General features: G+C 42.9%; 1 protein-coding gene across 6 annotated transcripts in view, besides 3 other annotated features; it reads right to left on the reverse strand.

Moving 5' to 3' along the window:
- The window catches only part of SMURF1 (SMAD specific E3 ubiquitin protein ligase 1), a 116,669-nt gene extending 96,096 nt beyond the window's left edge, over positions 1-20,573 (reverse strand). For all 6 annotated transcript variants that reach the window (NM_001199847.2, NM_181349.3, XM_017012457.2 and 3 more), the window contains exon 1: positions 20,191-20,573. In NM_001199847.2, the coding sequence (NP_001186776.1) occupies positions 20,191-20,245 (55 nt within the window). In that variant the 5' untranslated portion in view covers positions 20,246-20,573. The remainder of the gene's footprint in view (positions 1-20,190) is intronic.
- Positions 19,755-19,804: a silencer, noted in NCBI's record as "silent region_18400". NCBI's record gives its function as "represses an Ori minimal core promoter by ATAC-STARR-seq in GM12878 lymphoblastoid cells {active_cell/tissue: GM12878}" and the evidence as "EXISTENCE:reporter gene assay evidence [ECO:0000049][PMID:35858748]".
- Positions 19,865-20,194: a silencer, noted in NCBI's record as "silent region_18401". NCBI's record gives its function as "represses an Ori minimal core promoter by ATAC-STARR-seq in GM12878 lymphoblastoid cells {active_cell/tissue: GM12878}" and the evidence as "EXISTENCE:reporter gene assay evidence [ECO:0000049][PMID:35858748]".
- Positions 20,335-20,834: a silencer, noted in NCBI's record as "silent region_18402". NCBI's record gives its function as "represses an Ori minimal core promoter by ATAC-STARR-seq in GM12878 lymphoblastoid cells {active_cell/tissue: GM12878}" and the evidence as "EXISTENCE:reporter gene assay evidence [ECO:0000049][PMID:35858748]".

Consider the following 21,089-nt stretch of genomic DNA (forward strand, 5'->3'; position numbering starts at 1 on the left):
ATATTTCAAAATAGATAGATAGATAAATATTAGGTTGGTAAGAGGGGATGGGAATGTGGGGAGAACAAATATTATTTTCCATTTTATATGGTTACTCATCTGTATCATAATAAAGCTTGCATCACTTCCCCTCCATGCCACAGCCCTTGAACTGATCACTTTCTGAGAACGTTGGCTAAACATGAGAGCTCCTAACTGAATGATATAGTAAGAGTTTAATCTAGAGACAAAAAGGAAAAGAACTAGATTTAGAAACAATCTTTACTCCAACTTACAAAGTAAGAAGCCAAATATCTTCCCAAAGCAGTTCAACTTTAGTCCACTTGCAAAATACTCTCAGTGCAGCCTTAGGCAAGTCAGCCCCTAACATGTGCTGGGCAACAGCTGGGTGCCAGGTTACTTCACTTGTTCCTTGCAACAACAACCTGATGGGGTAGGTCTTGTCTGAGGCTTAAAGATGAAGCACATGATTTGGCCAAGGCTACTGGTATGTGGTGGAACTGGGTTGGCTGACTCCATTGCATCTCACCGTCTCAAAAATAGGGACAAGAATACGACCTATCTTGTGAGTTTATCAAGAGGAGGAAATACAACTCATGAAAAGTGCTTGGCCTCATTGCTGCCTGGCAAATAGTAAAGAGCTTCAATAATTGACAAATAGCTTTATTATTATTGTCCAAAGTCACCCCACTAGCAAGCAGCAGAGCTGTACTGGAAATCCAGGTTGGCAGCAGTCTTAAACCCACACTCCAAGTGGTGGTCACCTTAGAATAGTAAGGTATAGCTTACCAGCCTCGCCCAGTTTCCATTTAAAAAGGCCAAAGGGCAGAAGGGGCACTCCAAAGTCCCAATACTGAAGCTTTAATGCTAGCACTTGGCAGAATCTCATTCTAGAATACTTTTGGAGAGACTCCAAGCTTTGGGCATGAAGGCTGCACAGCTCTAGCAAAAGTGATCCAACGGCAGGGAAGGGAAAACGGGACAGGCGCTTCTACAGAATCTGCCTCTCTACCTGAACAGTTCCCTTCTGTGCACTTTAGGTTTGACCTACTTTGCCCACAAAAAGGTTTTAAGCAGTATCTGACTGTAAATGGAAGTAGGTCCAGTGTCAAAAAGGAAAAAAAAAAAAGTCACTACACAAATACTAACTTACCATTGACTGGAGGAGCCACAGTTGGGATCCAACTAGTACTTCTAAGAAGGTTTTAAGAAAGCATGTTACAATAAAGCAGCAAGATACTAAAGCAAGGACATCCAGGGCAGGGCCAACTAAACTTCCCTCTGAATGCCACTGCGCTTTATCAAGACATCCGTCATCATACAAAAATTTAACTTACTTACAGACACTTCTCACCTACTTGGAGTGGTTTTTCAAGGGCCAAATAGAAACCTGACATTAACTTAGTAACCATGTACAGAATGGATAAACAGTATTTACTTCCTCTGGTCTCTACCCTGTTTATTATATCCAGTACTCCACTTGCCAGACAACCTAGAGCATAGTAGTTATTCAATAAAAATTTTCATTCATTCATTCATTCATTCATTCATTCATTCATTCGAGACAGGGTCTTACTCTGTTGTCCAGGCTGGAGTTCAGAAGCACCATCATGGCTCACTGCAGCCTCAAACTCCTGGGTTCAAGAGATCCTCCTGCCTCAGCCTCCCAAGTAGCTGGAACTACAAGCATGCACCACCATGCCTGGCTAATTTTTTGTTTTTGTTTTTTTAAAAGATGGGAGGTTCTCACTATGTTGCCCCAGCTGGTCTTGAGCTCCTGGGTTCAAGCCATCCTCCCACCTTGGCCTCCCACAGTGCTGGGATTACAGGCATGAGCCACTGTGCCCAGCCAATAAATGTTTCTGTTTTTGTTTTTGTTTTAAAGAACCTTTGTAAAGCACTTAGTCTAAACTTTGGGCCCAATAAAGGAGTGCTTATGAAACATCCTAGAAAGACTATCATCCAGCATTTGTGTAAACACAGTAACACACTTTGTGAATGGGGCCTAATCTATTCCCTCATTAGGTGTCGCTCTGTGTCACCAGGTTCCTTCCCAAGTAGCACAACAGCAGTCATCATCACAGCTCACATTACCTATACACTTACCCGTGCACCCTGCTGGCACTTTCCACGGCTAGAAGGTGGCAAAGCCAGGACTGGAACCCAGGCCACTTGCCTCCAGCACCTGGCCCTTAGTTACCATGCTACTCCAGTCCCTGGATCCCATGCTATCCTCAGGGCATGAAAGGAAAAGTCCCTACTTTCTACCCAGCAGGCCTATAAAATTACAATTTATCATCTCATTTCCTGATCCAATCTCCCCGACAACTCACGACTTCTACAGAAGCCAAGTGTCCTCTCTTCCCTCTACCTGCCTGGCACCTCTTCTGTCCGTCTGACCTGCAAAGCAGCCAGACTCATGTCCACTCTGTCTTCGCTTATGCTATTACCACATGGTCTCTCAGCCCACCCAGATCTTTCTAGAGCCAGTTCACATTTGGCCTCCCCAGCAACTAGACTCAGGGGCGCTTTGTATTGTTACTTAACTGTTTCTAGCGAATGTACCATTTCCCTATGGCTGTTAAGTTTCTGGTAGAGACAGTCTTTTTCAATACTCCTCTCTATTGACTGTAGTATTCAATGAGAACAGCGAGCATGTATGGCGTTGGTATTTATCTTCCTTTAGAATGACGAGAAAATTAATATCAAATTCTAATGCAAAAATTATAAGCCTTAATATTAAAGAATCAAGCCTCATTTCAAATAATAAAGTACTTATTTCTTCTTTATACTTTTCAATAAGCATATATTCCTTTTTTTTTTTTTTTAATTATGGGCTGGGCTGGGTGCAGTGGTTCACGCCTGTAATCCCAGCACTTTGGTTGGCTGAGGCAGGCGGATCACGAGGTCAGATGTTCGAGACCAGCCTGGCCAACATGGTGAAACCCTGTCTCTATTAAAAATGTAAAGATCAGCCGGGCGTGGTGGCATGTGCCTGTAGTCCCAGCTACTCGGAGGTTGAGGCAGGAGAATTGCTTGAACCCAGGAGATGGAGGTTGCAGTGAGCTGAGATTGCGCCATTGCACTCCAGCCTGGGCGACAGAGCGAGACGCCATCTCAGAAAAATAAATTTAAAAAAATTAAAAAGTTTAATTAGAAATTATGTATACAGATATTTGCGTGGCAACACATTGGGATAAGATGCATTGATCTGATATTTGTATATTTAAAGTTATTATTCTTTAATTAGATGCTTTTTTGTTCTTAAGCATTTGATCATCTGAACTGGGTTCATTCAAAGTGTTATGAATTTCACAGCTATTAAAAAGAAATCAGCTATATCAAGAGGAGCTGTGTGATGTAGAAACAAATTAACATAACAGAAGTTTATTTCTTGCTCAACTACGTGTTCAGCATAGGTTGGGTCTGAGCAGGGGCCGGGGGGAAGGGCCAGCTTCGGCTTCACGTAATCACTCAGGGATCTAGGCTGATAGAGGCTCCACCACATGACACACAGCTTCTGTGGCAGAGCTGGAGGTTCCTAGTGCTTCAGCCCCGAAGTGGGACAACTCACTTCTCACAGTTTGCTAGCCAGAAGTAGTTACATGGTCCCACCTAACTGCAAGGTCACACGGGAACGTTGACGAGCACAGGGATAGTCATTGCATAGTGAATGTTCCTGCCACGCAGGCAGATCAGGAGGTAAGGAAACAGAGAAATCCCTGATCCGTATGTGCAAAAAGCAAGTATACAACAATGCACACACAATGCTCCCATCTGTGTTAAAAGAAAAAGAGGGAGGGAGTGAGAAAAGGAAGAGGCATTTTAAAAAAATCTCTGGAAGAACACAAGAATACCATGGTAAGAAAAGCTCGGCCGGGCCTGGTGGCTCACGGCTGTAATCCTAGCAGTTTGGAAGGCCGAGATGGGAGGATCACTTGAGGCCAGGAGTTCAAAACCAGCCTGGTCAACATAGCAAGACCCCATCTCTAAAAAAAATTTAAAATAAAATTAAAAAAAAGAACAGCTCTTTCTCTGGAGGCAAGCTGGTTAACAAGGGACAGAGGGGAAAGGAGGCATATTTTTCACAATCACCCTTTTATACCATATGTATGTATTATCTACTTAGAAATACTAACTAAAATAATGTTTAGGCTTTGAGACATGCACTTCAAATTAACAAGTTGGGTTTTTTTCCTGAATAAAGTCCAATTTATTCTAGTATGAGAAACACCAAATCCTTGACTCATACTGCTTGAAATGAAACACTGGGAGTAACTGTGACAAAATCATATCCTTTTGTCAAGTCTTGCTGAGAGATCGTGGACTGGCTTGCGTCTATTCTAAATATAAACAACGCTACTACATAGGCGATACGAAATGTACTTAAATCGATAAACTGTCTCCTTTTGAGAATAATTTTACTTTTATTTCAATTCAGGTTCCATTTTCTAAACCAAAACTCCTTTTCTAAAATAAAAAGGTACTTTTTGTACTGTTCAGATGAACCCTATGCAAAATACAGTAAATAAACCCTCTGGGGTTTCCAAAAAAAAATAATATCGCTGTTTCAGAATGCATTAAGATATGGAATGTACCAGGGTACAGTCTTTTACAAAATTATACTCAACACCCTCAAATAATACTTAAATACATCACATGCCAGATGTGCCAGGAGATAGCCTCTGGGGCTTATGACAAGATGACCGAATGGCTCATCTGTTCTCATGTGGTTGTCTTAAAAGCAGAATCCTGCTGACATTTGGCTGATGAGGTTAAGCCATGAATGACGCAGTCAGTAAACAGGTCAAGTCCCCAAAACGGCTTCCGTAATTCATTTCAATATTAATATCAAAAAGCAAGCCTTTACAAAAAAAACAGGCTTATAATAAATATCCCATTCATAACATTCTAAATACCAGGCTCCTAAGGGAAATGGCATTCTCACAAGGCTATATGCTATCCTTGCAGGTTTTACTTCTAAATTTATGCTAAGCGTATTACATAGCAACTTTTTACTCTACAAGTTGGTCCTTAAATAGCCTGTGACTATCATTCAAGCTCTATAATACCCTGTCCACATTTAAATTTTAGTGGAAAATCAACTACCACGCATTGCTTTCAAATATCAATATTGTACTTTCTAAACTGAATGTGCTGGGTGTATCAAAGGTGTTTACCTAAGCAGGCTTTCTGCCAATAGTTCGTGCTACTCTAAGAGGTTACCGGCACTACCATTTAACCTGCCTTTACCTCCCAAACAGGTTTATTCAAGCAATAGCAACGATGTCCAAAAACATGTCTCATATTTTTTCTAAATCACTGAAGAAAAGTAAATAACCGAAGTTGCCAAGCCAATCTTAGGTGTTATATAATCCATTATTTAAGCCTACAGAATAAATGAGTGATTATTAAATTTCTAGTGTTGCAACACGAGGCCAAATTCAATGTTAAGTTTAGAACAAAAACAAAATTGAAAAGAAACTTTAGATCATACTCTATTATGTTTAAACCAAGACAGATGGTGTATATTTATGAGTATGCAAACAATTCCCAGGACTTCCAAGTCAGAGGCAGCCCTAAAACCATATATCATTGATTTCAAGACACATTTTTTCATATGTTTTGAAATCTTCAAATGAATCACATTTTGCAATATAATTACCTGTGTTTCTTTTTACGTAGTACATAAAACAATGGTATGACTTGCAAGCGGTCATCTTAGATTCATTGAAATAAGACCATGTTACTATTAGCTAACACATATTGAACACATTATGTACCAGACAGTGCATGTGGATTATTTCATTTACTACCCACAACAACACTGAAGTGATTCCAGTTATTTCCCCATTTTTACGTTATGTTATTATTTTAAGATGGTCTCACCCTGTCACCCAGGCTAGAGTGCAGTGGCACAATCACAGCTCATTGTAGCCTCAACCTCTTGAGCTCAAACAATTCTCCCACCTCAGCTCCCAAGTAGCTGGGACTACAGGTGTGCACCACTATGCCCAGCTAATTTTTTTCTATTTTTGTATAGATAGGGTCTTGCTGTGTTGCCCCAGCTGGTCTCAAACTCCTGGGCTCAAGTGATCCTTCCACCTCAACCTCCCCAAATATTGGGATTACGGGTGTGAGCCACTGTACCCAGCCTTCCCCCATTTTTATAGCTAAGGAAACTAAGAAATGATGTCATTTGTGTAAAGGCACAGGCTGGCTCCAGCCGAGCCCTTCATCATTCCACCTTGCTGATTCCACAAACGGAAGAGCTTGGCGGTCTGTGGGATTCAACCATTCCTGGAACACAGGTTCGAACTTCAGCGAAGCATCTTACAAAAACTTTTTTTCTTTTTAAGAATATAGAAGTGAAAATACAGAGCCCCAGATATCAAGAACAGACATTAATTCAAAGAATTTATTATAGGGTAGGGCTGATAATCAACTATCCTATAAAAATCATATTATTGCATAAAAACTAAATTATTTTTCTTTCTACACATCCTGAATTCAATTTACAGATAATCAGCATGTATTTCTCTCTCTTAAAACTGCTCTGTTATCTCTAGAGAAATAATTTAAGAATGTATTCCTATAATCTGTACCTGAATTTTGTTTAAAAATACTCCCAAATAGGCTGGGCATAGTGGCTCACACCTGTAATCCCAGCACTTTGGGAGGCTGAGGCGGGCCAATCAGCTGAGGTCAAGAGTTCAAGGCCAGCCTGGCCAACATGGTGAAACCTATCTCTACTAAAAATACAAAAAATTAGCCAGGCGCAGTGGCACATGCCTGTAGTTCCAGCTACTTGGGAGGCTGAGGCAGGAGAATCACTTGAACCCAGAAGGCAGAGATTGCAGTGAGCTAAGATCACACCACTGCACTCCAGCCTGGGTGACAAAAGTGAAACTCCGTCTCCAAAAAGAAAAACAAAAAGTCCCAAATAACATTATACAACAATCCAGGAACATTCTGCAATACAAATTGACAACAAAATTTATGGGGCTAAGTTCACATATAAAGGTACCACTCCTAACCCTTGGTCAAAAATTCTTGGCACTTTTACCAAATCTTTTGCTTCATACTACCACAAAGAAGGTATACTTCTTTTTCAGAAGTGCATTAAATGGTAGCTGTACCTTCCTTTTACTCAGCATAATGAAGCTAACATTATAAATTTTAAAAGAAAACAATCGGTATCATCTAGTTATTTATTGATTGCCCACCTGGCATCCATATTCCTGTTCCCCCAAACAACCCAAGTCTGTATTGTGGGTGGGACTAACCCCCTGATTAGATTCAAAGATGGAACCTAATTGTCCAACGAGCACATCCCATCATCCCAGCCACAGCGGTTGGTTCAGCAATGAACACTTGACCCAAATTAGGCCAATGAGACAAGAGGATTCAACTCCAGGCCTTCTACCCCAGGACTGAGCTGTTGAAGAAGCAGACTTTTAACTTTTCTGCTGGATTTAAAGCTGCAAGCAAACAGCCATGGAGCTTTTGAGCACAAGGGGAAGAGATGGTCATGAATAGTGCTGAGGTCAAAACACTGAGATATAGAGAGAAACCAGGTCCTTGCTTTGCCATTGGAATGACTTGGGCTTTTCAGTGAAGTCACTAAAATTCTCTCTATTGAGCTAATTTAACCTAGGTTTTCTGCTACTTACATCTGAAGGTATCCTGCTTTTAAACAACAACAACATTAGGAAGTGCGATATTGTACATAAAAGACAGAATTAAAAATGTGGAAATTAGCTGAAGAAAGGAGGCAGGGTGAAAAATCAATGAATACCCTCCTCACCCGGCCTGAGAATTTAACTATCTTTATTATCAGGGAAAGAAACAATCAGACTGTGGTCTGATGCAACCACCAAGACTACAAGGAACACTAAGGGACTTGGTAGGAAAGAATCAAGGAAATGGGTAGGTGGGTGGTTCTTGCCTGTAATCCTAGTACTTTGGGAGACCAAGATGGGAGGATCGCTTGAAGCCAGGAGTTCTGGACAAGCCTGGGCAATATAGTGAGACCCTGTCTCTACAAAAAGTTTAAAAATTAGCTGGGCATGGTGGCTCATGCTGAGGTGGGGATGACTTGAGCCCAGGAGTTTGAGGCTGCAGTGGGCTATGACTGTGCCATTGTACTCCAGCCTGGGCGACAGAACAAGATCCTGTCTCAAAGAAAATGCAGTGAAGAGGGAGGAAAAGAGGCCCTTTCTGCTACAAAATGCAATCTAGGGGAACCAAGAGATAGGATGAAGAAAGAAAGGGAGGGAAGACTTAGCAGGAGATAAGGCTGTGGGGTAGGGTGAGCAAAAGAAGGCTTCCCCAGGTCTCTCCCAAGCACTCAGGTCCAGTATTCACAGCCTGAAAATGGGAAACGTTATTCAAGATGCAACCGCAAAGCTTGGGCAAGGGGCAAATGAATGATGTCTCTCCAGCCCAACCAGTTATCCCCGCCAGCCCTGAGGGAGAGGCTAAGGAAAAGACCTGGAAACCAAAAGCTACAAAGCTGGGCCAAATTCCAGAATTAAAATTTCGGGCTTTGGTTCAAGCCCCTGGAATGGCCCAGAAGCCCAAGATAGAGTAGACTTGCCTTTTAGGGTATCACATAGTCAAAGAAACCCCAAGCCTGGCTGACAACAACCTGTAATTGCTTGATCTCTAATCCCTGCTCATATCAACAAGAAGTGGCTATGAACGCAATGCTGCCTCCAGGAGAGGTGTCCTCCGACGCCCAACTCAGAGGCGACCAGGAGACCCAATAAACAAGGAGGGCATTAATTCTCTCATTCACCAGGTATTTGTGAGCACCAGCAGGTGCCAAGCAGTGTTGAAGGGGATACAGAAGTAAACAGACAGCAAGGACCCTAGCTTCACGGAACTTGACTACCAAGAGCAGAGACAGAAAATAAAAATTGATTGGACATTGGTAGATGGATGATGGGAGAATAACCAAACAAAAATACCATGAAGTGGTGAGTGCTATGAAGACAGCAGAATAGGCTGCCTGATCGTGAGTGAGGGAGGGACTATGAAGGGATGGTCAGGGAGGGTATCCCTGAGGTGATGATATTTATTTAGGCTGAAGGCCTGAATGACAGGAAGAAGCCATTGAGAAGTCAAGAGGAAGAGTATTATAACATCACACAGACACACGGACACACACACACACACACACACACACAGAGGAATAATTCATGCAAAAGCCCTTAAGCAGGATTAAACTCGCCACATTTGAGGACTGGGGTGGAGAATAAGGCAGAACCTGGCACAGAGGCTGCCAGAGAGGAATATGGCAGGATCACAGAGGGAGTTTGATTTTATTCTGAGTAGGGAGCTGCTGGAGGGCTTTAAGGAAGGAAATGACATGATCTGATTTATGCTCTTAAAAGATTTGGGGGTGACAGTTTAGTGGTTGCCAGGGTCCCAGGGACTGGGGATGGGTGGATGCGGCTAGAAAGGGATAGCTCCAAGGAGGCTGGGGTGGTGGTGCAGCTGGTCATCTTGATTGCAATGGTGGTGATATGAATTTGTACATGGGATCAAACTGCATAGACTGCTACACACACACACACCCCACCCACACGCAGTGCACGCGGAGCTAGTGAAATCTGACTAAGCTCTGGATTGCACCAATGTAAACAGTTAGTTTCCCGGGTCTTTTTGCTTGCATTATTTTGCCCTTACTTTTTCCCTATCGTTAGAACCCATGAACAAGTTCCTGGTTTTGACATGCCACAGTTATACAAAACACTAAAATTGGGGGAGGCTGAGTGAAGGGTACACAGGACCTCCCGGTACATTTCTCTCCCATCTCCTGTGAATCTATCATTACTTCAAAATTAAAAAAGAAAAAAAAAAGGTCTCTAAGGCTGCCATTTAAGGTATAGATTAGAGAAAAAAGAAAGTAGAACCACAATATGTGACACCAATCCACACTCAAGGAAAGGGTTAAAATGAAAAAGAAAACACGCAGATTGGCAAAGGAGCACCTGGAACTCTCATACGCCACTGGTGGAAAATGTAAATTGGTATAACCACTTCGGAAAAGCATTTGGCAAGTTTCATTACAGTTGAACATATGCCTATTCCACAGTCCAGTGACTCTACTCCTGAGTATACACCCAACAGAAGTGTATGCAAATACTCACCAAAAGACATATACCTGAAAATTCCAAACAGCACTAGTCTTAAAAGCCAAAACTAGAAAGGACTCTGCCCATCAACAGATAAAGGGATAAATTATGGTATATGCCCATAATGGGATATTGAACAGCAAAGAGAATGACTGACGTACAACCACACATAACAATACGGATAAATCTCACAAAAATAACATTGAACAAAAGAAACCAGTTGCATGCAGTAAGATTCCATTAATACAAAGTTCAAAAACAGGCTGTTACAAGTCAGGACTGTGGTTATCTTTGCCAGGGGGGTGCGGCTGAGGGAGGTAGAAAGTGAGAATGAGCTATTTTCAGGATTGTAGGGACATTCCAAGCACCAGCAATATTCTATTTCTTGATCTAGATCAGGAAAAGTGCTTCTCCACCCACTTTTTTTTTTTTTTTTTTTTGAGACAGGGTCTCGCTCTGTAAGGCTAAACGTGCCTTATTTCCAGAGTTTTTTGGTTTTGTTTCGTTTTTTTTTGCAAATTCTACTCCTGAGCAATTTGTTTATTTTTCTCTTTTCCCCAATCCTTAGAATCTGTGAACAATTTCCTGGTTTTGATATTATACCAGAGTTTTACAAGGGACTAAAACTTCTACCCATGTTTACAGGTATTTCCTCACCAGGCTCAAGTGAGGAACCACGCGAGAACCCTTTGGAAACTATGAAACACTGTACAGACGGGAGGTATTAGTATCACTGACAGGTATGAACAGGCAGCAAGCAGGTCTCACCTCTATAATTTGTAGGTAATATATGTAGAAATAAAATTGAGTAAACTTTGGATTTTTTTTACCCCAAAGACCTAAGAGGGGAAAAAAGCAAATATATCACATTGAAGTTACCATGTTTTCTACTTCTACAGAGCCAGATGCCAATATTGCTTTTTAAAGCACTTCTAAAATTAAAAACAATCCCTTAAAAAAGTTCATGGCAAACACATTGACTATAAATACTTGGAAAAATACTAAATTATTATTACTGGCTTATGCAAATGAGCATTTTACTCCTATTTTAAAGATGAGATTATTTTATAAAAATAGGTCAGAGATAACCCCAAATGACATTCTAAATAAATTATGTAAACCACTATTATTCAGAACCAAGACCTCAGTTTTTTAAAGAACTCACTATATAAACAAGATCTAGAGTCCAAATTTCTTAATCTGAAAGTAATCATTTTGCCTTATTTTAATATGATAGAACAAGCTTTTTGGGGGGTCAGGCAACTCGCTATTACATAATAAACATACTCTCTGGGAAAATAAGTCTGTTCAGAGCTATAAGACAAGTAGCCAAGAATTTTATTCTGTAGAACCCAGGAATCTTCCTAGTGAGGAAGTCCTTATAAATATGAGTATGTACTTTGAAATGCTATAATATTTTAGCCTTTTAAAATACATTCGGCACAATCATTTTGATTTTTCAGAATGTCTACATTTCAAAACAATTGGCAGTTAGTGTACTTACTAGTTGCTCTAAGAAATTCTTATCTATTTAAGAGCTTTTTAATCTTTTTAATTGTTGAAAAGCAATACATGCTCAAGGGGGTGAGAAAAGGGAGGAGATTAAATATTACAAAAGGCATATAATGAAAAGTCACCCTCTCTTCTCTCTTTTCTCTCCTCTCTCCCTCTCTCCTCTCTCTTTCCTCTGAAGAGGAGAACAGGAGAATCTCTTCAAAGGAAATCAACAGTCAAAATCTTTCAGTCGTATTCTATACAGACCTATCTATAGATTTCCCCCTTTATTTTTATTTCTTGTTTTATTATTCAAATAGTACACACACTAGCCTCTGTTTTGAATCATGCTTTTTCCCCCCACTCAATAATATATCTTGGAGAATGTTCCATATCAGAATATAAAACACTATCTTATTATGTTACAGCTACACATCATTGGGAATACACGATAATTTACTTAACTAGTCCCTGCTGATACACATTCACATTGATTTCAGTCTTTTATAATTTCAAACAATGCTGCAATGATTTTACACACCGGACTTTACATAAATGTGTGAAAACACCCATAAGAAAAAAGTCCTACATGCAGAATTGCTAGATCAAAGAGCATAAACATTTATGATCTGATAGACAGTGCCAAACTGCTCTTGGTACCTACTCTATCAATTTATATTCTCAACCACTAGAGTAAAAGACCTGTTTTTCCACACTCTTGTCTCATCACAGAAGATTTTCAATCTCTTTGATCTGCCACTCTTCTAGATGAAAAATTGTTTCATTCTTACTTTTAATTTGTAGTTTGTTTAGTATGAATAGGGCTGATTATCAATTAAAAATAAATTTTTAGAGAAAGAAAATGGGCATAAGAGAGAACAGGGCACAGCGGCATATACTTGCAGTCCCAGCTACTCAGGAAGCTGATGATCGCTTGAGCCCAGGAGTTCCAGGCTGCAGTGAGCTATGATCACGCCAGTGTACTCTAGCCTAGCCTGGGCGACAGAGCAAGACCCCATCTCTAAAGAAGAAAAGGAAAGAAGAAGAGAGAAAATAGGGTTGTCTTTTCACATGTTTCAAATCCATTTCCATTTTCTTTTCTGTGAATTGTCCATATTCTTTGCCTATTAGGTACTGGCCTTTTCCTAATTGATTTTGAAGGCTCTTTATATATTAGGAAAACCAGACTTTCATTTTCGTATCCATTACAGATTGTTGTTCCTAGTTTGTCTTTGCATGTTGATTTTATCCTATTTTTTGCCATGGAGAAATTTTCCATCCAGCTAAAGTTTTTTATTGTTTATAAGTGTTTTTCAGCTGATCTTTTGGGCTTTTAAAGATATATCATAACGTCTATAAATAACAGCAATTTTGTTTCCTGCTTTCTGATGTCTTTCTCTAGTTATTAATAATAACTATTTTGACAGTGTACATCCCTGCATTGTTCCTGATTTTAATGGGAATGTTTCCACAATTTCATCATTTAAAGATGATGCTGGCTAGGTGCAGTGGCTCATGCCTGTAATCCACGTACTTTGGGAGGCTGAGGCAGGTGGATTGCTTGAGCTCAGGAATTCAAGACCAGCCGGGCAACAGGGCGAAACCCCATCTCTACCAAAACTACAATGATTAGCCAGCCGTGGTGGCACATGCCTGTGGTCTCAGCTACTCGGGAGGCTGAGGTGGGAGGATCACTGGAGCCCAAGAAGTCGAGGCTGCAGTGAGCTGTTATGGTGCCACTGCACCCCAGTCTGGGTAACAGAGTGAGACCCCATCTCCAAACAAAACAAAAAATAAACATGATACTGTCCGATGGCACATTACCTGGCCTGGGAAAAACATAAAATAAAAATAAAGATAATACTGGTTTTGGCTTCTAACACTATTTCTCTAAGGAATTTCTGAATACATAATTTATCAATTCATTGTATTATTTTTCCATGTTTATTAACCGGTTCTATAGATTTTCTTCAATGTCAAAGTACGTTATTAGCTTTATTATTTACCTGGCTATTTAGGAATAAGACATAACAGGAATCTATGACTGTATTAATACTGTGCTACTCTATAAATAATTCATAACTACTCATTAAAATATTTAATCCATCTCTAGCAGGTCCTTTTGTGCTCTAAAAAGACAGATCTCTGGCATTAAAGATAGGAAAACTGAATCATGAAAAGATCATAATCCTATGCACCCCCTCCCCTTTCTTCATTGTGGTACTTGTGTGAATTAGAAATCAAATTCAGACCTTCTGATCCCCAGTCCAGTGTTGGAACCACAGGAAAGCATCATGCCCTTTAGAGAACTCAGCGGATGCCCAACATACAAAGAACGCAGGCTGCCATCTACAATCTGCAGCTTCGTGACATGCTCCTCCAGACTCCTGAAAGCAAGCTGCAAGTTGGGCTCCGGAGCTTAAAACATCTGAAATGCATCACCCAGCAGCCAGGAGGATAGGTTCCTGCTCAGTGATAAACGATGTTGCCGACATTCCTCAGCCAATTAGAATTCCTTTCAGCTGCAGTGGAGGTGAACACAGCTGGAATTACAGAGTGGGGCGCGTCACCAGACGCGCTGATTATACATTATTTAAGCCTTGTTTTAAAACAATATGAGGGTGTTTTTTCCCCCATTAGTCCAGAAATGTGGAAACAACATTCCACTTGGTTTAAATATCTAAATGGATTAAATTGCATCTGGAGACAAAACAGTAATAGTGACATTTTAAAAAGAAGATATGCCCAAGCCCCATAGCTATGTGCTTTTGTTTTTTAAACATAGCTCCATGGCTTTCCTTTAACTAGAAAGGCCTTAGGGACTTTAGTCAGTCAGAATGAGTTCCCTGGACAAGAAGCTAATTTAAGTTGGAGGCTTTCACTTACAAATTCACTTACAAAATAACAAACCAGTAATTTAAAACTTGTTCAGTGACAAAAAAAAAAAATTGTATATTCCTTGTTTAAAAAAAAATTAGCCTCTAAAATGGTTTTGAAATTATAAAAAATTGATCCAAATAAGCATCCTAAAAGTTAGCTGTCTTACCCAGCAAATCAGAGCATGGCGAAGATATCAAGTTATTTCATCCATTTGAGGCTTTTTTGAACCACTGAATAAAACGCACAATTCAGCTATTTTAACTGTTAACCAGTGCCCACGATGTTGTACAAAACAGCCAGTCTAGTTAACTGGATCACTGAGGTGATATTGAAACACTATTTGTCGTTTTGTCTTTTTTTCTTTCTTAATCCATGAGGAAATATTTCATAAATAACACAGCCTCCAAAACCTTTCTTTCACCCAATTTTCCACACTAGAACCTGACATTGTGACTGAACCGAGAAAATGAAAATGTGTGGAAGAGAAAGAAAAACCCAACATTCAGAAAGGACTTTTGTAACTGCAAGACTAGAGGTTTTAAACTCTGACAGATGGACTTGAAGTTAAAAATCCTAGTTTGATAAATCACAACTACTGTAAAAATGGAGATAGAAATAAAGCATATGAAAGATTTCATGTCTAAAGTCAGTTGGGTGGGCCAAGAAGATTAAAAGGAAAAAAAAATGGATTTGAAAAAAGAAAGTTGTTCTAAAAGGCAACACAAATGTGATCAAATCACAAAATCAATGACAAAAACCTCTATTTGGCAGAATGTGATTCTTCTTAAAGTATAATTGCAATTCAAGTTTTGCAACAGCATTTGTTCTAACCCATCCTACACCTTCCAATAATTCATCTCAAAGAACTGCCTTAACTGTATCTTCCTAAACTTGAGGCAGACCCTAAGGAAAATGTAAATGCAAAGGGAGCTAAAAACTGACCACTTATTCCATCTTATCACAGCAACTGTGTTATATGGTTTTTGAAACAAAAGTTTTGCCTGCCTCACATAAGTGAGGTTCTTAGCTGGTACAAATTGACAAAGTCAACAGTCTTAACAATTTTCTTAATCTTTCTTGAGAGACTTAACTATTTTGAATCAATTGAGACACCTGTAATTCATCAACCAACATCATCAACAGCTATTACCACAACTATTTCACTCACAGTTGCACCATCTGAATGCCAAAACACAAGTCACCCTTACATCCCACAAGCTACAATTTTAAAAACAACCTCATATTTCCACATGCTATCAAGGAAAGTCTCTTTGTTCCTCTCTGTTTGGAATTAGAGTTTTTCTTACTTCACAATATGCAGTCATGCTCCAAAAGATATAAAAACACCAGGATATCTGAGAGTATTTCAATGCATAAAAGCACAAAAAAGTTTAGGCACTTGTATTTCAACTAATTGGTTGACATTACAATAAAATTTAATTTTCTTGAAGAGCATTGTAGAACCCTGAATTCCATTCTTTTACCCAAAGTGGCCTAAACAATGTGTCTGGGATTCATTTGTGTACCAGATAAGAACAAAGTTTTTGCAAATCCTGCTTGATTTTTCAATCAAAATGTTTCTAAAGTGTTTGATTTGCCAGTGAACTCCAATGACTACAAGATAATGCTCTTTAACAAAAGATCACTTGATTCTGGATATATTATGCCCCTAAACCTACTGAAACCATTTAAAAACTATTTTCCTACTAAAATACCACAAAAACATTCGTTAAAATGTTATTATTTTAAATACAAAGGCTCAAATATTCTTCTACTGTTTAGACCAGGTTGCCAAAGCAGTTCAACATATTACCCAACAGTTTTCAAAAACAATCCCACATGAAGAAATAAAGTCATAAATGTAATCAATACACAAAATTAATGCTTGGCATAAATCAAACACATGTGCTACACTCCAACACAATTTTCTGAATATCAGGATTAAGAATACCACTAAGCCCAAGTGCCCAACAGTAATTTGAAATAAGTAGGTAGCTAAATTGATATATCCTGTGAGAAGGAGGATCAAAGAGTATTATAATGGAGCTGAAATCTCATTTGATATATAAAGAAACTGAGACCCAAAAAGGTTAAATAACTTGTTCCGTAACATGTAGTTAATGAGAAATCTGTCTAGAATCTAGGTCTCCTAACTGTAAATCTAATGCCCTATTCACCCCCAAATAGAATCGTGGACCCCAAAGTTCTAAATGTAGTATCTTCAGTATCCTTTTTTTTTTTTTTTTTTTTTTTGAGACAGAGTCTCACTCTGTTGCCCAGGCTGAAGTGCAGTGGCACAATCTCGGTTCACTGCAAGCTCCACCTCCCAGGTTCAAGCCATTCTCCTGCCTCAGCCTACCCAGTAGCTGGGACTACAGGCGCCCGCCACCACACCCAGCTAATTTTTTGTATTTCTACTAGAGACGAGGTTTCACTGTGTTAGTCAGGATGGTCTCAATCTCCTGACCTCGTGATCCGCCCCACCTCAGCCTCCCAAAGTGCTGAGATTACAGGTGTGAGCCACCGCGCCCAGCTAATTTTTTGTATTTCTAGTAGAGACGGGGTTTCACCGTGTTAGCCAGGATGGTCTCAACCTCCTGACCTCGTGATCTGCCTCAGCCTCCCAAAGTGCTGGGATTCAGGCGTGAGCCACGGCGCCAGGCCATCTTCACTATCTTTGCACTGAATTTCGCTCTGTGTCTATTCATTGACTGGTTGAAATATCCCTCATTTTTAACAGTCTTTTTTTTTTTTCCAAATAACAAACATGGAAATAAACTCTGAAACCTGTAACAAAAGTATTCAAATTTTGAAAGATTGCTTCTCAACATCCCAGAAGTGAGAATTCAAACTTCCCTTAACCAGAAAGATGAGACTAAAACCTATTCCACCGTCAACAAACTTCTAGTTCAAACCTTTCGAGGTAAACTAAGGTTCCACGTACTGGCATTGCATGTGTACCATTACCGCTAAACCGCAATCCTATTGTAAGGATGATCACACTCACAAATCCTCTCAAACCATTCATAACATCTACTGAAAGGGAAAGGGAAAGGGAAAAGGTGTTTCAGAAACAACACTCATCACCTGATCCTTCCCTATCAAATGTCATCCAAAAATTCCTCAAAGCATTCTTGCTTCGATAATCTAAATTCCTAAATCCAAAAATAATTTGGTAGGAGGAGAAACCAAGTCCTCCCTTTCAAGGCTCAGGCTTGGCAAATAGGATTGATTAATATACATACACCAGACATAAACATTTCAATTAAAACCTATTCCTTCTAAAACATTCATCATATTTCTAACACAAAATCAGTTGCTTTCGCTTTTAACAAGATAACTGAAACCAATCTGATGTCAATTACAGACTGAGCTGTAAATCAGAACCAAGTTAAAAGCTTTACAAGTATTACAATCTCAAAAATGTTACTTTTATCTTACCACATAAATAAAAATGTATCTACATTGTATCTACAAAGTGAGAAGCGTTTCCTATCAGCCCTGGCATAAAGAAATGTATTTCCCCAGAAGCAAAGATCCCAGAGGAAACTACCTCCTACGTTACAAAACCAGGGTCTGGGTTTGGGTCCAAATCATTATTTGATATCTTTATACAAAAAAACAAAACCTTCTCTTAAGACAAAAGTTGGGCCATGCAACAACTATGGGCTCTCAAAGTAAATTTTAGTTTAAAAAAATTACCTATTGTTTGCATGGATTTTACCGATGACTTTATGGCTGCGCATCTGCCATAAAGTGTTCAAAACGCTCATTCTCTCTTTGAAAGGACCTGACCAAACCAGGACTTTGGAGTTCTCACCCGACTGAGCCACTGAACAGAAAAATCCAGGGGAAAATCCCTGACGGGGATTAGAATGAACTTTTTAGTTTCCTTCCAGAGCTGGAAATATTCGAGTTTGGAAAGTCCCGGAGCAGAGCCGCATTTGCAACACGGCCATCCTGCTTTAGGGATGAATTGAAACTGGAAAGAGAGTAGTACCAATGAGAGTGAGAAAGGGAAGACGAGGATGCAGCCTGGTCCAGAACCTCTGGAGCCCGGGGGGAAACAGGTTGGCATCACATCCGCGCCACCAAGTCGCAGGCCCGCGGCAGAGCGTTGCGCTCACCCTTGAAGGTGGCACTACAGAGCCACCCAGGAAACACGGACTTTTCATTGAAGACAAAATGAATCAAGGAGCCTGCGTGTGGGCAGCTTCCAAAGCCTCCAGTGAGTGTGGGAGTAGGGATCAGAGCCTCACGGCGCTCTGGGTTGCTGAGTGTGGGGGTGATGGTGAAACAAAATGCAGAAAAGGTAAAAATTGAAGAAGCAGAGTTAAAAGTAGCTAGCGGTCTGGCCTAAGAGACAGGAAGTGGCCCAGACTGAGACTGAAGAGGGCTGGACCAGGGGGAAGTGAAGAGAGCAGGACTGGGAGCAGCTACAAGATAGGATTGAGGAATTTCAGGCTGAAGGAAAGAAAGGGTGGAGGCCTCGCCAGACAGCAGCGAGGGGGCGGGGCTAGGCAGGAATGAGGGCGGGGCTTGAAAGTGAGGGGCGGGGCTAGGGGAAGAAGGGAGGAGGACGGTGTGGGGGGGTGAGGGAGAAACGAAAGAGGATGGGGGAGTGAGAAGAGGGTGGGTGGGGGCAGGAGGGGAGAAGCAAGGGGGCAAGTGGAAGGGGAGGTAGCAAAATAGCTTGGAAGTGGTGGGAAAGACCAGGAGGATGAGGGGAGGGAGCAGGTGGGAGGGAAAACAGGAAAGCAAGAGAGATGATGGGAAAGTGGTGAGAAGTGAGGGATGGGACCAGGGGAACAGAGGCAAGGCCAGGAGGGAAAAGCGAGGGGGCAGGTGGGCGGAGAGGATGGGAAGCGAGGAGAAGGAGGGAGGGGGTAAAAACGGCGGAGGAGAAAAAAAGGAGAGAAGCAAGGGGGCGGGACCAGGAAGAAGTGAGGGCCGATGCTAGGAAAGAAGTGAGGAGGCGGGACCAGGAAGAAGTGAGGGCCCAGGCTAGGAAAGAAGTGAGGAGGCGGGACCAGAGAGAAGCGAGGGAGCTGGACGCAGGGAGAAGCGAGGGGGCGGGGACAGAAAGTTAGGAGGCGGGAGCAGAGAGGAGCGAGGGGGTGGGGCCAGAGAGATGGGCGGGGTCAGGTTTGGGGAGGAAAGGTGGGGAAGAGAAAGGACCACAGGGATGGAGGTGAAAGGCAAGGGGGCGGGGCCTGGGGGGAGAAGCGAGGGGTCAGGTGCTAGGGAGAGGAAGGGAAGCGAGAGGCAAGGGGCCGAGCCGGGGAGAGGTGAGGGGAAAGGGCCTGGAAGGAGATGCAAGGGGCGGGGCCAGGAAAAGAGAAGCGAGGGGCGGGGCCAGGGAAGGAGATGCAAGGGGCGTGGCCATGAATGGAAATGAGAGGGGCGGGGCCAGGACGGAGATGCGAGGGGGCAGGTGCGGGGGAACGGGAGGGAACGCGAGACCGAGGGGGCGCGAGCGGCCAGGGGGCGGGGCCGGGCAACGGCGAGGGGGCGGGGCCAGGAGGGAGAAGCGAGGGGCGCACGCCGAAGGGGGTGACGAGGTCCTGGGACAACGGCCGGCGTGGGGGAGGGCCGCTTCCAAGGGCGCCCTGCGGGGAATTCCGGGGCGGGCGAGGGGGCGCCGGGGCGCGGGTGGGCCTCCCGCCGGCCGTACCTGTCAGACGGATCTTGATGCTGGAGCCGTTCCTGCGTGTCCCGGGGTTCGACATCTCCCGCCAACGATCGGGCAGCCGCGGATCCAGCGCCACCGCCCCCCAGCCCGGCCCGGCCCGGCCCCGCCGCCGCCGCCTCAAGGTTACGGCTCCGGGCTGGGCGCCGGGGTCCGAGCCGGGACACAAACTCCGCGGCCCAGGCGTCCGGGCGGCAGGCGGATGGTCGAGCCGGGAGATCGGCGCTTGCTGCGGCGCTCTGACCCTCGCTGCTTCCAGCCGAGCCCAGTCCCGAGCCGCCGCCGCCTCCGCCGCCGCCTCCGCCGCCTCCACCACCTCAGAGCCGGACGCCCGCCGCCCTCGCCGCTTCCGCCGCTGCCGCCGCCTCTCCGAGCCGCGCGCGCGCCCGCCGCCGTGCCGGCCCGGCCCTGCGCGCCCCCGCGCCTGCGTGCGTGCGCGCCCCCGCCACGTACGCTGGGGCGGGGCGGGGTGCGCTGCTACGTCGCCCGCACGCCTGCCTCGGGCGCGCGGGGCCCGGATCCCGCGGGTTGGGGTCTTCACCCTTCCTGTGGTCGGTGGGTGGGAGGGTCTGGCCCCGAGCCCGGGAAGGGAGAGCAGAGCTGGCCCCGGGACCCAGCGCGCGGTCGCCCTCTGTCTTGACCCCTGTCTCTGCGAGGCTCTGGGCTCCTGAGTGACTGAAGAGTGGTTTGCATGAAACCGTGGGCTGTGTCCACACCAAGCTCCTTGCACACAGGCGTGCAATACCAGTTTTTTTCAGTTAAGAGCTTTCGATCGTGCAAGTTCAAGGGAGGGACTTCTCAAAGAGACAAAGCCCTTAGGTGTGTTCTGTGCAACGGGTGTGCTCCACTGACCCATAACAAAGTTGCCAGAATCGCAGAAGTGC

Source organism: Homo sapiens, chromosome 7 (assembly GCF_000001405.40).
Source record: "Homo sapiens chromosome 7, GRCh38.p14 Primary Assembly".
Taxonomy (NCBI): Eukaryota; Metazoa; Chordata; class Mammalia; order Primates; family Hominidae; genus Homo; species Homo sapiens.